A 15,099-nucleotide genomic window follows, 5' to 3' on the forward strand; every position below is an offset into this window, starting at 1 on the left:
AGGTGAGGAGGGGCAGGAATTGTCCCTAGGCGCAGAGCTCTGAGCATGGCTGACCTAAACCTCGGCTTTTGGCTTGGCATCAGGACCCTCCTCCATCTGCTTCTGTCAGTCTTTCCCAGACCCTCATGTTTTGAAAGCACTCTAGCTGCAGGCTGGAACCCTCTTCTCATGGCTGGGATCCTGTTCCCCAGTCCTGCTCAATTACTTTGTGCACCAGCCACTTCCCTTTTTCCGTCTCCACTGGGAGTCGAACCTCCCTCCTCCACGCCCCAGGAGCGCTGTTCCTGTACTTCAGAGAAGCCCTTGCTCCCTGACACTGTGGACACCAGGTGTAGTTTCAGCTCCTCTGAAGGCCTGGGTGCTTCCTGTGGCAGGAGCAACGTTGAGTGCAGACTGACCCCACTCCCTCCCAGCTGGCGGCCTCAGCTCCCTCAGCACCCCTAGTGTCCCCCCTACCCCTGCTTTCCTCCTAGGAGCCCACAGTTGAGATTCTTTGTGTGAGGTCCCAGGTTCCTGCCCTGGGAGTCAGACAATGAATCCTATGGAAAGGGCAAGCACTAAGGAGCAGGAGGGGCCTTGGAGGGCCGTGCGGGGTGGAGGAGGAGCAGATGACTCTTTTGTTGGGTTTGGTTTTGTGTTGCCAAGCTTGGTTTGGGGAATGGCAGTTGATAGGCAGAAAAGCCAGGATTAGGAACCATTTAGAGGGACAGTGGGCTAGGGAGAGGGAGGGTCAAGCATGGACACCTAGGCCGAGCAGAGAGAAGGGGTCGAGGGGCTCTGCGGTCATCACAGGGTCTGCCATGGGGCCCTGAGGGTAAGTGGCAGCAGGAGCCAGGTCTGTGGCAGCACAAGGGCTGCGCAGGGCCCAGGCAGGCCAGCAGCCCTCAGAGGCTTGGGTGGAGAGCAGGTGTGAGGAGCCAGCGCGGGGTCAGAAAGAGGAGTGAGCCTCATGATTTTGTCAATCCAGTTGATGAAGTAGGTGACCCTGGTGAAGATGCTGGGGTAGGCAGGATGCCGGCAGTCCAGGCCCCAGCTGGCCAGCCCCACCAGGACCCAGGCACTGGGGAGGTAGCAGACTAGAGGCCCCCCAGAATCGCCCTGAGAACAAAGAAAGAGGAGTTAGCTTTGGGGGATGAGTGTGTCTGAGACACCAGGTGGCAAGGTCGGACGTTCTGCGCCTCTGCTCTCTGAGTCAGGGTCCCGCTGCAGACCCACCAGATGGAAATCTCCAGGCATCAAGCTCCTGAGCTGACCCTCAGAGTGGACAATCATAGATCTGAATCTACCAACACGTGAACCCACCCTCTGCCCTCTACACCCAGGACAACACACTGCTTGAAGCCTAGAGGGGACAGCTGTATGTACAGGGCCTGAGAGGCGCTGGGCCTGCTAGCAAAGCACAGCCAGCTGAAACCTCTGTGCAGAGCGCAGCTCTTGTGAACCCTAAGCTGCAGCAGAACATCCCCTCTGGGCGCCCCGTCCTTTTTTGTTCATTTAGGCCTTTGGTTTTCTCTCAACTTTTTGGTAAAGTATCTTTAGAAAGTGCCCATGCCCAGGCCCTGTGGAGACAGCCCACATCACTAGGGAAGCAGGCAGGGGTCTCCAGAAAGTTGCTTGGAGTTACTGGAGTCCTGAAATGCTGTCAGGGTGGGATCATGCAGTTGAAAGCCCCCTATATCATGGGCCAAAAAGTGAGACCCAAAGAAAGGGTCTCAGCTGGGCACGGTAACTCACACCTGTAATCACAGCACTTTGGGAGGCTGAGGCAGGCGGATCACGAGGTCAAGAGATTGAGACCATCCTGGCCAACATGGTGAAGCCCTGTCTCTACTAAAAATACAAAAATTAGCTGGGCATGGTGGCGTGTACCTGTACTCCCAGCTACTCGGGAGGCCGAGGCAGGAGAATCGCTTGAACCCAGGAGGCGGAGGTTCCAGTGAGCCAAGATCATGCCACTACACTCCAGCCTGGCAACAGAGCGAGACTCCTTCAAAAAAAAGGAAAGAAGGAAGGAAGGAAGGAAGGGAGGGAAAAAAGAAAGGGTCTCATCTTCAGGGTGGTGGGAGGCAGGGCCCACAGCCGGCTCTTCCGCCCACTAGTCCAGGGTGCACCTGGGGCATCCAGTGCAGGCACTGCTCTTGGGAAACACGGGGAAAAGACAAACCCTGTCCCCCATGGTGCATAGATAAATAAGCCAACTGACCCTATGGAAGCGGGAGGACATTTCGTATCCATGGATCACAACAAGCTTTCCTGACCTTACACTCAAATAGGAAACAGAACCTACTTCTGCGAGGTCCAGAAGAGAGGGCCCAGTTGGCGCAAACCAGGAGAGGATGGGGCAAACCTTGTGGGAGGGAGTGAGGGGGCAGAGGGAGGTCTCAGAGCTGCAGAGGGGCAACTTGGAGAACTGTATGCTGGAGGGTGGGGGACACGTGACCTGTTTAAACCATCAGTCTGGTGCCATGTAGAGAAAGAAGTTGCTGAGCACCAGGTAGAGAGGAGGGACCAGGGAGGAAACTACAGGAGGGAAGAAATGGTCAGATTTGGGATGGTATTTTGAAGGAGGAGCCAAAGGACTTGTGGACTCTGGCCTTTTCTTACCAACCAGGGAAAAGGAGTGGAGACAAAAGGAAGAAGGCTAAGAACTCGGCTCTGGGGTCTCCAGCACTGAGAGGCCGGAAGGGCCCAGCCCCTCTCAGGCCCTGTACATACAGCTGTTCCTTCTAGGCTTCAAGCAGTGTGTTGTCCTGGGTGTGGAAGGCAGAGGGTGGGTCCACGTGTGATAGATTCAGATCCATAATTGTCCACTCTGAGGGTCAGCTCAGGAGCTTTGATACCTGGAGATTTCTATCTGGTGGGTCTGCAGTGGGACCCTGACTCAGAAAGAGGAGGCACAGAGCATCCGACCTTGCCACCTGGTGTCTCAGACATGATCATCGCCCAAAGCTAACTCCTCTTTCTTTGTCCTCAGGGTGATTCTGGGGGGCCTCTAGTCTGCTATCTCCTCAGAGGCAGCTGGTAGCAAAAAGTGGGAGTGGAGTGGCTGGCGACTGGCACCAGCAGCTGAGCGTGAGATGCTGCTGATGTGTCAAGGGAGCAGTGACTCTGGCAAGGCAGAGGCTGTGGACAAAGTGGCTTTGGTGGCATGAGAGGGACAAGGCTGGTTTGGGTGATTCAGTGCAGTCAGGCCTGGGAGGAGTCTTCAGGGAAGAAAGGTGGAGAAATGGGGCAGTAGCTGGAGGAGATTGTTGCCATGCCTTGACGTGGGAGGCATGAGAGGGAGGGCAGGGGACACAGGAGTAGGGGAAAGGCCCTAGCGACCCGGTGCTCAAGGATGGGTTGGCCCAGGGTGAGCCATCGGGGCAAGGGGGAGAGACTAGGCAGATCAGGGTGGGCAGATGTGGGGCCAAGAAGAGCGAGCTTCTCATTGCTTCATCTTCTCAGTTTGATGAGAAGCAAGAGAGCACACTGAGAGGGAGGGGCCTGGGCTGGGGGAGTGGAGGCCAGAGGAGAGAGAAGGGGTGACGTGGTGCGGTCACTAAAGAATACTCCCAAAGACATCCATATCCTCATCCCTGGAACCTGTGAATGTGTTATCTTACATGGCGTAGGGGACTTTGCAACTGGAGTTGAGTGGAGACTCTTGAGATGGGAGATTATTCTGGAGTATCTCAAAAGGCCCAGTGTCATCACAAAGTTTTTTATAAGGGAAGGCAGGAGGCAGAAGGGTCAGAGTCAGAGGAGGAGATATGACAACAGACACAGAGGTCACACTGATAGCTTTGAAGATGGAGAAAGAGACCATGAGCCCAGGAGTGTGGGCGGCCTCTAGAAGTTGGAAAAGGAAATTGAATCTCCTCTAGAGCCTCCAGAAAAAAACCCAGCTCTGATGACACCTTGATTTTAGACTTTTGCCCTCTAGAACTGCAAGATAATAGACATCTGTGGTCTCAGCCGCCCAGTTTGTGGGGATTTGCTCCTGCAGCCCTGGCAAATTCATGCCCGGGGTCTTCTTGGGAGTGGAAAGTGCCTTCGCTGTCTCAGATCCACCCCTCAGTGCTTCCCTACTCGGAGTGCCCACCCAGCTTGTTTGAGGGCAAGAGGAGGCCTGGTCCTCCGGGCAATGGTCCCTGACTACTCCAGGCCTCAGTGATCCATGCAGATGAACCACCTGCTTGCCAACATCACGCTTGATTCTGGGCCAGTCTGGGAGAGACGGGAAGGACTCCAAGGGTCTCCTGGCCCTGACCCTTGGGAGCTCCGAGTACGCAGAGGAAGTCCCAACATTAATGTACCCCATGCAAACTAGGCTGTGGTTTGCACTACTGTGGAGACAGAGGAAGCCACGTGTAACTGGTGGGCCTGGTGGTGAATTCCACATTGGGTGAAAGGGCAGGTCCGAGATAGGCCCAGAAGAATGAGTACAACTCAGATAGAGGAAAACAGACAAGGCCAGGAACATGGAAGCCAACACTTATTAAGCACCTGCTAAATGCCAGGCATGGTGCTACATTTCTACAGGAACCTTATGAAGTGGAGGCTGTTAGCAAGCCCACTGCACGGGTGAGAAAACTTAGCTAAGGTCACAGCACATGCAAGTGACAGAGTGAAGACTGCAACCAGCTGTGTCCTGCTCGCAGTCTGAGCGCTGAGTCACCCTGCAGCTCTCTCTCTCCTCAAAGCTGTTTTTGCGTGCTCCATGCAGGGAAGAGAAGAGAGCCACAGGGTGGAGGCGGGGACCACAGCAGATGGCTCAGCAGGAGATGAATCCAGATGGAATCTCACAGACAGGCAGTGGTGGCTGAAAGGCTCAGGAGATGTCCACCTCAGTGGTGTCCTTGGCCTGGGCAAGGAACTAGAGGAGGGGCAGGGCTGAGGGCACTGTGGAATGTCCAGCAGGTAGGCAAAGTGTGCTGGCCCTGAGGCTCCAGGGGCATGACCTTTGCAAGAGAGGCTGGTGGGGAACAAGGCTGGAAGGGAGCTGGACTAAGGACTTGTTGGCTGAGCCCCACCAGGGCTGGGCATTGGGCAGGCTCCCTGCTCCCCCTGGGGTACAGATGACTCTGTGAGGAGAAGGGGCCAGGCCACAGCCAGAAAGGAGGAACAATGAAGTATGTGGACGTGGACAGGAAACCAAGAAGCCTGGGGCTGGCTCCCGCTGGGCAGGCAGGTGGGCTGAGCTCCCTCCCACTACTCAGTTAGCTTGCCGGGCAATATTGAAAACAGTGCTGCCAATGAGCCCTTCCCACGGGCCAGGGGGACTCAGGGCTCAGACTAGGGGGAAGGAAAGACCTGGTTCTAGTTTTCAATCTATCATTTTGCTAGCATTGTGGTCTTTGCCAAACATATCCATTTCCAAGGGCTTGCCATAACACACTGCCACCACCTTGGTGGCTTAGAAGCAACAGAAATGTATTCTCTCACAGTTCTAGAGGCCACAAAACTGAAATCAGTGTGCTTCCAGGGACACACTACCTCCAAAGGCTCTAGGGGAAGACCCTCCCTTGGCTGTTCCAGCTTCTGGCGGCACAGGCATTCCTTGGCTTGTGGCGGCATCCCTCTCCTCTCCATGTCTTTCTGCACATGGCCATCTTCTCCATGTGTGTCTCTATGGCCTCTCCCCCTCTTTTAAGGACACCAGTCATTGAATTTAGGGCCCACCCTAAATCTAGGATGGGTTCATCTTGAGATTCTTAACTAATTACATCTGTAAAGATCCTACTTCCGAATAAGGTCACACTCTGAGGTTCCAAGTGGACGCCATCCTTCCAACCACCTCATGGAGGAGGCCTTGGAATCCTCACGCAGCTGATGAGGACCCAGGCTCAGGAGGTGAAGAGAACATCCCAGGTCACAGGGCAGGCACATGTGGTGGAGCAATGTCTCTCATTCCAGGGTCCCAGCACTTTCCTCTCTGCCCTACAGTGGTGTCTATGCAAAAGCTCGGCCCACAGATGTCAGCTTAAGAGGCTACCACCTGTGGGAGAGGTTGTGGAGGCAGGGTTGGCCTTGGAGTCGCAACACCTGGGCCCAGGTTGTACTGCCTCACTTAGGCTAGCCACTTTTCCTCTCTGGGCCTCAATTTCCCCACCTATAAGATGGAACATTACAGAAGGTTGAAAAGGATTTTCACACCATGTATCTTACTGTGAACTTATGTCCGGAATACATAAAGAGCTCCTAGAAGAAAAAGACAGACAACCCAACAGAAAAATGAGAGGAGAAAAAGAACTTGAAGGGAAACTTCATAAAGATATCCAATAATAATAAACATACAAAAAATTTTAAGCCAAAAACTACACACTCACCAAAATGGCCAAAATCAGAAAAGATGGAAAGGAATAAAAGTTGGTGAGAAAAGAAGCTCTCATCCTCTGCTAGAGGGAAGGCGGTTTGCTATCCTCTGCCAAAGCTGAACACACAGACACATCTTTTTATCTAGCAATTCTACTCATAGGATTCTATGCAATAAAATATATTCATCTGTGTCCCAAAGACAAATACAAACATGTACATAGCACAGCTACTTATAATACCTCCAACTTGGAACCTACTCAAATACTTATCCAATGTAGAATTCAACTCACACAATAGCGCGCTGTCGAGCAGTGAGAAGAACACACCATAACAACGTGTAATAGTATGGACAAATCTCAGAAATACACTGTTAGGACACAAGAGAGTGCTGACTGTAAATTCCACTTACAGGAATTTCAGAATCTACGGTGTTAAAAGTGAAGGTGTTTGTTACCCTTGGGCGTTAGTGATAAGAAGGAGGCACATGGGTGCTTCTCGGGTGCTGGTAACATGTTGTATCAGTGTGGGAAAGTTCACCAAACTATATACTTATTAATTATGTACTCTTGTGTATATATATTATGCTTTAATAAAAAGTTTAAAATATATTAAAAAATGCTGTTTGAAGATCCTTCCAGCAGATGTTCCTGCTGAGATGCGCTGGGGAAGGGGCTAGTCTAGGGGAGACTTCTGAGGGATGGAGCCCAGGGAGGACACTCAGAGGAGAGGAAACAGGAATTCCAAGGGACACCACAAAGAAAGCAGAGGCAACACAGAGACCCGTCCCAAGGGAAACTGAGGCCAAGAGAATATGCAAAGGAAGAGAGGAAATGACCGTACTCACTTTGCAGATGGACTTTCCTGTCGAGAAGTCCCCCCCCACACAGCATCTCCTCGTGCAAAGCTTAGGTCTCGCCTTTGCCAGTTCTTTGCCCATATAAGGTATTACAGAGTGTGTTCTCAATGAGGCCCACCTTGCCCTCCTGGAGATAGAAGGGTGGTGACAGTTGCACTGAATAGATAAGGGGGAGATCAATGACATGTCCTGTAGGTTAACTAAGAAAGTTCAGGCTACTCTGAGCCCCTACTCTGTCTGACTGCTAACCACAACCCCCCAAACATAGGTTTTCTCAGAACTGCTGAGCTTTAACTGCTGCTTCACTCTACTACCCATCCTTGATAAGCTTCTCTTCTTTTTCTCAAACCTTTGCACATAGTCATCCTATTCCCTCTACCTCTCTCATAGCAATAGATCACACCTCTCTTATTCTACAAGAGGCAAATCCCACCAACACATGACTCATTTATTGGAACTTAGCAACTATTCACTGACCAACTTACTCTTTCATGAACCATCCCATCCATTCTCCCTCCATCTATCACTAACCTTTCTTCTCCACCCATCATCCCATCCACTCACTCACCCATTCCTCCATCTACCTATCTTCCCACACCTACCCATTCATCCACTCACTTTCCAGATATTTGCCCATCCATCCATCCTTGCAGCCATCTCTCCATCGAGCCCTCCATCTCTCACCCACCTATCCTCCTCTCCACCTACTGACACATCCACCCACTGACACATCCACCCACTCCATCTGTCCACCCCTCACCAATCCTTCTATCTACACATCTATCCAAACATCCATCTACCAACTCAAATATCATCCATCAATCCATCCATCCATCCACTCATCCCTCCACTTATCCTTCCATCCATGCAGTCACCCATCATTCTAGCCATCCATTATCCATCCATTTATCCATTCATCCATCCATCCATCCATCCATCCATCCATCCATCCATCCATTCACTAACACAATCACTGATCTATTCACTCATCTATTCAGCTATCCTGGTGCTGTCTTTTACATGCTAATGATATAGATAATTTTTAGTAGAAAGTGACAGATTATATGAAATAATAAATTAAAAAATATTTTAGATTAAGTGATATGAAGAAAATAAAACAGGAAGATGTGATAGAGGGGGTTGCCTATTTTAGCTCACATGATTAAGTAAAACCAAGAAAAAAAACTGAATAGTAAATGTAAAGAAGTGACTCCTGCAAAGATGAGAATGACAAGCAAGCTAAGAAAAAAAAAAAACAGCAGCTAAAGGCCCCGAGATAGAAATAGCCTTGAGATGTTCAAAGAGTACCCAGGAGGCCCAAGAGGATGGGGTGGGGTATGTGAAGGCTGCAGTAAAAGATGGGGTATGTAATGGCTGCAGTGAAATATGAAGAATGGAAAGGGTGCATTGGAAGGTGGGATGTGTCATGACTGGAGCAGGAGATGGGGGATGTGAAGGGTGCGGTGGGAGGTGGGGGATGTGAAGGGTGTGGTGGGAGGTGGGGGATGTGAAGGGTGCGGTGGGAGGTGGGGGATGTGAAGGGTGCGGTGGGAGGTGGGGGATGTGAAGGGTGCGGTGGGAGGTGGGGGATGTGAAGGGTGCTGTGGGAGATGGGGGATGTGAAGGGTGTGGTGGGAGGTGGGGGATGGGAAGGGCGCGGTGGGAGGTGGGGGATGGGAAGGGTGCTGGAATTGCAGGCATGAGCCACCACGCCTGGCCATGTGTCTGGATTTCATTTTGCACAAATGAGAAGTTACTGTAGAATACTGAACCGGGAAGTGACATGACTAATATTTAAAGTAACACTCCGACACCCACATGGAGCCTACAGTGGGGGCACAGAAGAATGGAAGCTGGGTGACCAGTTCCGAAGCTACAGGCAAGAAATGGTGGTCTATCAGTGTCATGCAGCACGGTGGTACCAGCCCAGGAGCACCGTTTGGGATATTAAAACAAGTATATGTTGCCTCTACCCTCAAGGTATAACCAGATGTATGTGTGAATGCTGGGGACCAGCCAGCAGATGATCAGGGAGAATCCCCTCCATCTGGCAGTCAAAGGCCATGGATGCTAGCAGAGCCCCACTCAGTGAAGACATATTCTATCAAAAATACGTACAGCACCTCTGTTGAGAAATGCTAACCCTACACATAATTAAATATATGTTCTTCCTTTTTCCCTTAACATCATACCATAAGCATTTCCCTAAACTGTAAACACTCCTTTCTTCAATAAACACTCTTGTGTATAAATCTTTGCTTACATTTCTTTCCTACTCATCTAACGATGAAAACACACACAACTCTCTCCTCTGTTATTCAGTCACGTAACAAGACTGTGAAGTAGATGAATGACCCAGGTTAGGATAAGAGCAACATGAGGTTCAGAGAAGGTCAAGAGTTCTACGTCGCAATCATTCTAACTGGATCATGCAGCCTCAGACTGCAGAGCCACCATGTGTTTTCTCTCCACTCTTCCCAAGCACCTTCCCAAGCAAGGGACGATCCAAGTGTTTGGTGGTGACCTAGAATGGGCCAGCCCCCAAGCATGTCTTTGGAGTTCAATCGAGTCATCTTAGTCCCATGGCTGACTAAAACCTTAAAATAGTGGCTCACGCCTGTCATCCCAGCACTTTGGGAAGCCAAGGCAGGCAGATCACCTGAGGTCAGGAGTTCAAGACCAGCCTGACCTACATGGAGAAACCCTGTCTCTACTAAAGATACAAAATTAGCCGGGCATGGTGGTGCATGCCTGTAATGCCAGCTACTTGAGAGGCTAAGGCAGGAGAATTGCTTGAACCTGGGAGGCGGAGGTTGCAGTGAGCCGAGATCATGCCACTGTACTCTAGCCTAGGTGACAGAGTGAGACTCCGTCTCAAAAAATAAATAAGTAAATAAATAAATGAATAAATAAATAAAACATTAAAAAGAAGAACCATGAAGACTCAAAGAACCCAGATTCTGGATTCTCAAAAGTTAAAGATTCCCAGACTTTCAGAGCCTGGGACTCAGGGAACTCTAAAGCTATGGGATCACAAACTTTCAGAAGTAGAAAGGCCCCAGCGTGGTGGTCCTCACCTTACCGGTCATGGAAATGAGGCACAGAGGGCCAAGTCCAGTGGCTTCCTCTTTGCCTGGCTAAGCCATCCTTCCTTCTTCCCCTCTGCCTCCCTCTCCTTCCCCTCCCTCATCCTCCCGCCTCTCCCACACCCCTCTTATGGTCTTCGGTGAGCATTCCCCAGCCGGTTATCCAACAGGACACGTTACTGGGCAGCTGCATGTCCCGGGATGGGAGGCAGACAGGGACAATGTAGGAAGTGAAGTTCATAGGCAGGTGCAGCTGCAACATGGCAATGTCACTCCCAAAGGGGTGGAGCTTCTCAAAGTCTGGATGGGTGATGATCCGGTGCACAGACATCTTCTGGGTGTGCTGGGTTTGATGATACAGTTGGATGTTTCCCAACAGAACCTGATAGTTCTTCGGGGCCTGGGATTTGCTGGAGGAGGAAGGGCCCATTTTTACCATTCTCTGAGAGTGCGGGGCAGCACTCTCTTTTTACATCCACTTGTAACTGCCCACACACCTCTGGGTCCTTCTCCCCTGACATGATTCTAGGCAGCTTTGTATCCCCCTTTCTGACAGTCAGGAGCTCTTTTTTTTTTTTTGAGGCTAATGGCTATTCTACTCACAACCTCAGGACATATGGCTTCCCCAGCACACCCTTGAATCAGAGGAGCAGAGAATCCTAGTGCCAGGAAAGTCCTTGACAGAGTCATCAAATCCAGCCCTTTTATTTTACACAAGAGGAGCTCTGGCTTAATTCTGGCTCCAGCCTGATCCTTCCGAAGGCTACCTATGACCTGCTTCCTGGCCTAACCACCTTTCCTGCTCTCCCCAAGGGTGTCTTCCCCACTGTTGTAAGCACTCATAAAGGATTTGTTCAATGCCCAGATGAGTGCATGAAACTGATGCTCTTCTTGTTCCTGAACACAAGTAATGAAACTTCTGACCTTTGTGACTTTGTTCACATGGGTCAGCTGCCAGGAAACCCCTCGCCACACTCCCCATACCAAAGCCTCCCCTCTGGCAATCCCCTGCAGCTCCTCATCCTCCCTCAAGACTACAGCATCTCTCTGGATGACCCTGCCTCGGGTCAGCTCTTCTCACTCACTCTGGGCTTTCTCTCCTGCATCCTGCTTGTTGGAGCTTGTGCCTCGCCTTCCCATAGAGACACCTTCACTTGGGGTCTTGCCACACTCTGTGCCATAGAGGGTCTTGGGTGGTGTGACACCCAGGAGATGCTCACGGTGCCCAATAGTTGGAGTCTCAAAGCCACTAGGTGCCCAAGCTGACTCCATACCTGGACTGTGATGCCTTCCTCTCCCTCTGGGTCCCTCCATGACTGTTCAGAAGCTGGGCACTGAGTCAGGCTCAGGAGGGCCAGAGGAGTAGCACCCCTGACTGTCCATGTCATTCTCCAGGGTCAGGGGGCCCCACTCTTCCCACCAATACATGCAGCCTGGCACAGCTCCTTCCAGGCATACAGTTTTACAGAAAAAAAGCATCGCCTGGCTGCTGGCTACCTGCAGAGTCCCCAGTCCCTGCCTGGAGTCTGACTCACAGGAGCATGGTGCACACTGAAGAGAAGCCCTGCAGGTGGCCAGCACAGACACTGCCAATGCTCTCACGCATGTCTGGGTTGAGCAGACAGACACAGGGGCCAGGGAACTCCCTGCCAGAGCTGAGGATGAAGGATGAGGAGGTTCTGGGCAGATGGAGGGACAGTGGGTGGAGAGTGGGGAGGACAGTCCTGGTGGAGGGGACTACGGGTCAACGGCAGGCACTGCATCAGTTTGGTGGCAGCAGACTTCCCCAGAGCAAAGCCCAGAGGAGAAAGACATAACCCCCCCAGCCCCCTAACCCTCGTCCCTTGCATCTTCCTCCCCATCAGCCCCTCTGCTGGGGCCCAGGGAGGGAGGACTCACTTGAGAAAGCAGTGGGTAGTTGATACCAGCCAGCAGGAGTCGATGAGGACAGCTCCACAGAGGTGCGAGCCCCAGTAGAGCAGGCTGGCCTGCCATGGCCACTGGCCAGCTGCTGCGTCCCGGCCACCATAGATCTTCCCCACCACCTTAGGCTTCCCACACACTGTGGAGACACCCCGGTCCACCTGTTAGAGACACTAGTGGTGCCCATGAATGCCACCCCAGTGAGGCCTCTGCTCTCTTCACAGATGGGAAAACCAAGGCCAAAGAATAGGTGACCTGGCCAAAATGACTGAGGGCTACTCCAGCATCTGCCTTCTATGGCCACTAGCAGGACCAGATGACAGAGTACAATTGAGCAGGCTCTGTGGGAATGAGGGACCAGGGGTCTGGCAGGCAGGGCAAGGCTGACCCAGGGTGGCCACAGCAGCTCATCCGGACCTGCCAAGGACTGGTGGACTGGAATCCAGCCCTGGGACTTTACTTCCCTCCATCAGAACACCTGCATGCCTACTTTGCAGATCAAAGAACTGAAGGTCTCGGGGGTGTCCAAGTGGCTGTGCCCACCCCCGCACCTCACTCCAGTATCCCAGGGAGAGAGATTCTCAGGCAGGAGTCTGTTGTGCTGTGTGACTTGGGGAAACTTGCTCCCTCTCTCTGATTCTTGATCTTCTATTTTTAGAAGGTGAGAGGGGGTGGGGCTGATGTGGACAGCCTTGGTTCTGAGACTCACAGCTGGGAGGGGGAGCTGCGGGCCTGGACCCCTGAGGGGCAGTGTCCTGATCCCTGGCCTACGCTTCCAGGCCTCAACAAGGGGACATGAGACCCCAGGGCCCACCCCACTCCCGGGGCCCAGCAGCAGTCCCGGTGCTGTCTCCCTCCACCCAGCCCCGGCACCAGGCACCAGGCCCTGGCACCCCGTCCAGTTTCGTGGGCCCCACACCCAGTCCTGGGACCAAGAGCGGGAAGCCTGACCCACCTTGCTTGATGTCGTCTCTGGAGCCACCTGGCTGGGAGGGAAGGAGAGAGAGACAACGGATTCGGGTGACTTCCGGCCCTGGCACCAGGCCCAGAGCCCCGGCCTTCTCCCCACCGCCTCTAGCCTGCAGTTCCCCCATCTCTCCGCAGACGCCTGCCTCTCCCGGACACTCCTTACCTCATCTGGTCTTGCCGAGCCCTCGACCCCCTGCCCCCGTGGCCCAGTGGCCCCCTCAAATGCCCCCTGCCCCCTGCCCTCTGCCTCCGAGGCCGGCTCGGCCCCACACCCTCTGCTTCAAACGGACCTTGGGCTCTGGCTGCGGGCTCCCGGCCCTGCTGCGCCCCCAAGCTCTCTCTGGCCTCCCCCGGAGCCTGCGAGGGGCTGGCGGCGCGGGACTGTGGGGCAGGGGCGGCCTCTGGGCTCAGGAGCAGCAGCGGCAGCAGAGACCAGAGCAGGGGCCCCGGCTGGGCTCTGGTCCGCGTTGACCCCACACCCATCATCGCCTGACACGAGGACAGAAGGAAGGGGAACTGGAGCTGACCCTGACCCCCGAAACAGGCGGTGACTCCTGGCCCTGACTCCTGGGAAACAGGTCCTGACCTCGCCCTGACCCCAGCCCCAGACAGGCGCTGAACCCGTCCCTAACCCCCTCCCAAGACAGCCCCTGACCCCGCCCTGACCCTCCCCATGTCCGACCCCTGAGACCCAGGAAGCAGTCTTTTGCCAAAGAATTCCTTAGGCAGCGGCAGGTTCCAGAACAAAGGAGAGGGTGAAAGCTGCGGGGAGCCTGTCAATCCTTCTTTCCACTACAGAGCCAGGTGTCTGGGAGGACCTATGGTGCGCTGCCTAGCCCACCGAATGAGGCAGGGACAGAAGGCGCTATGGCTGTAGGTTGCCGTCACTGGGCCAGTGTAGCCATCACCTGGCCCGGCTGTGAGGCCCCATAGGCAGCTGTCCATCTACAGTGTCTGGCAGGTTTTTGCTGGTCAGCAGCTGAGCTAGTGCCAAGAAGGCCTCTTTCTCCTTGGGGAACATCAGCAGGACAACAGCGACCTGGCTCACACCCTGGCAGTAGCCCATGTCCTGCAAGAGTCAAAGTCACTGCGCTAGAACCTCACCTGGCAGGGCAGAGGTCACCTGGGAGGATAGACCTCACCTGAGAGATCTGAGGTCACCTGGGAGGCCTAAGGTCACCTGAGAGGCCCCCATCTCAGGCCTTGCAGGATTTGACACTAGGCACCCTTCTCCTGACAGAATAAGCCCAAAGCACACAAAATAAAGCCTGCTGCCTAGAAAAGAGACAAAAGAATGTTGTGTTTGTTTTGTGCTAATGCTGTTTAATTTTGTAGCAAACCCTGACAATGCAACTGAGGCCCTTTTAAGATTGTCTGCCAAGTAAGTAGTGAGATCTTCAGGGCACCTCAGTTTCTACATTATTAGGGTAAAATCTACATACAATGAAATGTAAGTATCCCATGTATACGTTTGATGAGTTTTTATTTCCATCCTGGTTGATTTTTTTAGTTTGCACACACGAAAGTTCAGTCTCAGGGCTGTGCAGTTCCATGGATCTGAGCCAATGTGTAGAGTCTCCCATCCACCACTCCAGCAACAAAAGGAGCAGTTCCTACATCCGCAAGGTCTCCCATGCATCCCCTTTGGAGCCAACCTCTCCCCACTCCATCAGCTCCTGGCAACCACGGATCTGTTCTCCATCCCTATGGTTCAGCATTGTCCAAAATGTTCTATGAATGGAATCATATCACGTGTGCCTTTTGCGTCTGGCTTCTTTCACTTAGCAAAATGCATCTAAAATTCATCCATGTGGCTGGGTGCAGTGGCTCACGCCTGTAATCCCAGCACTTTGGGAGGTCGAGGTGGGTGTATCACCTGAGGTCAGGAGTTCAAGACCAGCCTGACCAACACAGGGAAACCCCGTCTCGACTAAAAATACAAAAATTAGCTGGGCTTGGTGGCAC

General features: G+C 52.9%; 1 pseudogene, besides 2 other annotated features; it reads right to left on the bottom strand.

The window, feature by feature from the left end:
• On the bottom strand, nucleotides 787–14,780 carry PRSS47P (serine protease 47, pseudogene; annotated as a pseudogene).
• Nucleotides 11,100–11,299: an enhancer, noted in NCBI's record as "active region_28592". NCBI's record gives its function as "activates an Ori minimal core promoter by ATAC-STARR-seq in GM12878 lymphoblastoid cells {active_cell/tissue: GM12878}" and the evidence as "EXISTENCE:reporter gene assay evidence [ECO:0000049][PMID:35858748]".
• Nucleotides 12,345–13,088: an enhancer, noted in NCBI's record as "H3K27ac-H3K4me1 hESC enhancer chr9:94951003-94951746 (GRCh37/hg19 assembly coordinates)". NCBI's record gives its function as "activates a minimal SCP1, AML or CMV promoter by ChIP-STARR-seq in primed H9 embryonic stem cells {active_cell/tissue: H9 hESC(primed)}" and the evidence as "EXISTENCE:reporter gene assay evidence [ECO:0000049][PMID:30033119]".

This window comes from Homo sapiens, chromosome 9, assembly GCF_000001405.40.
Source record: "Homo sapiens chromosome 9, GRCh38.p14 Primary Assembly".
NCBI lineage: Eukaryota > Metazoa > Chordata > Mammalia > Primates > Hominidae > Homo > Homo sapiens.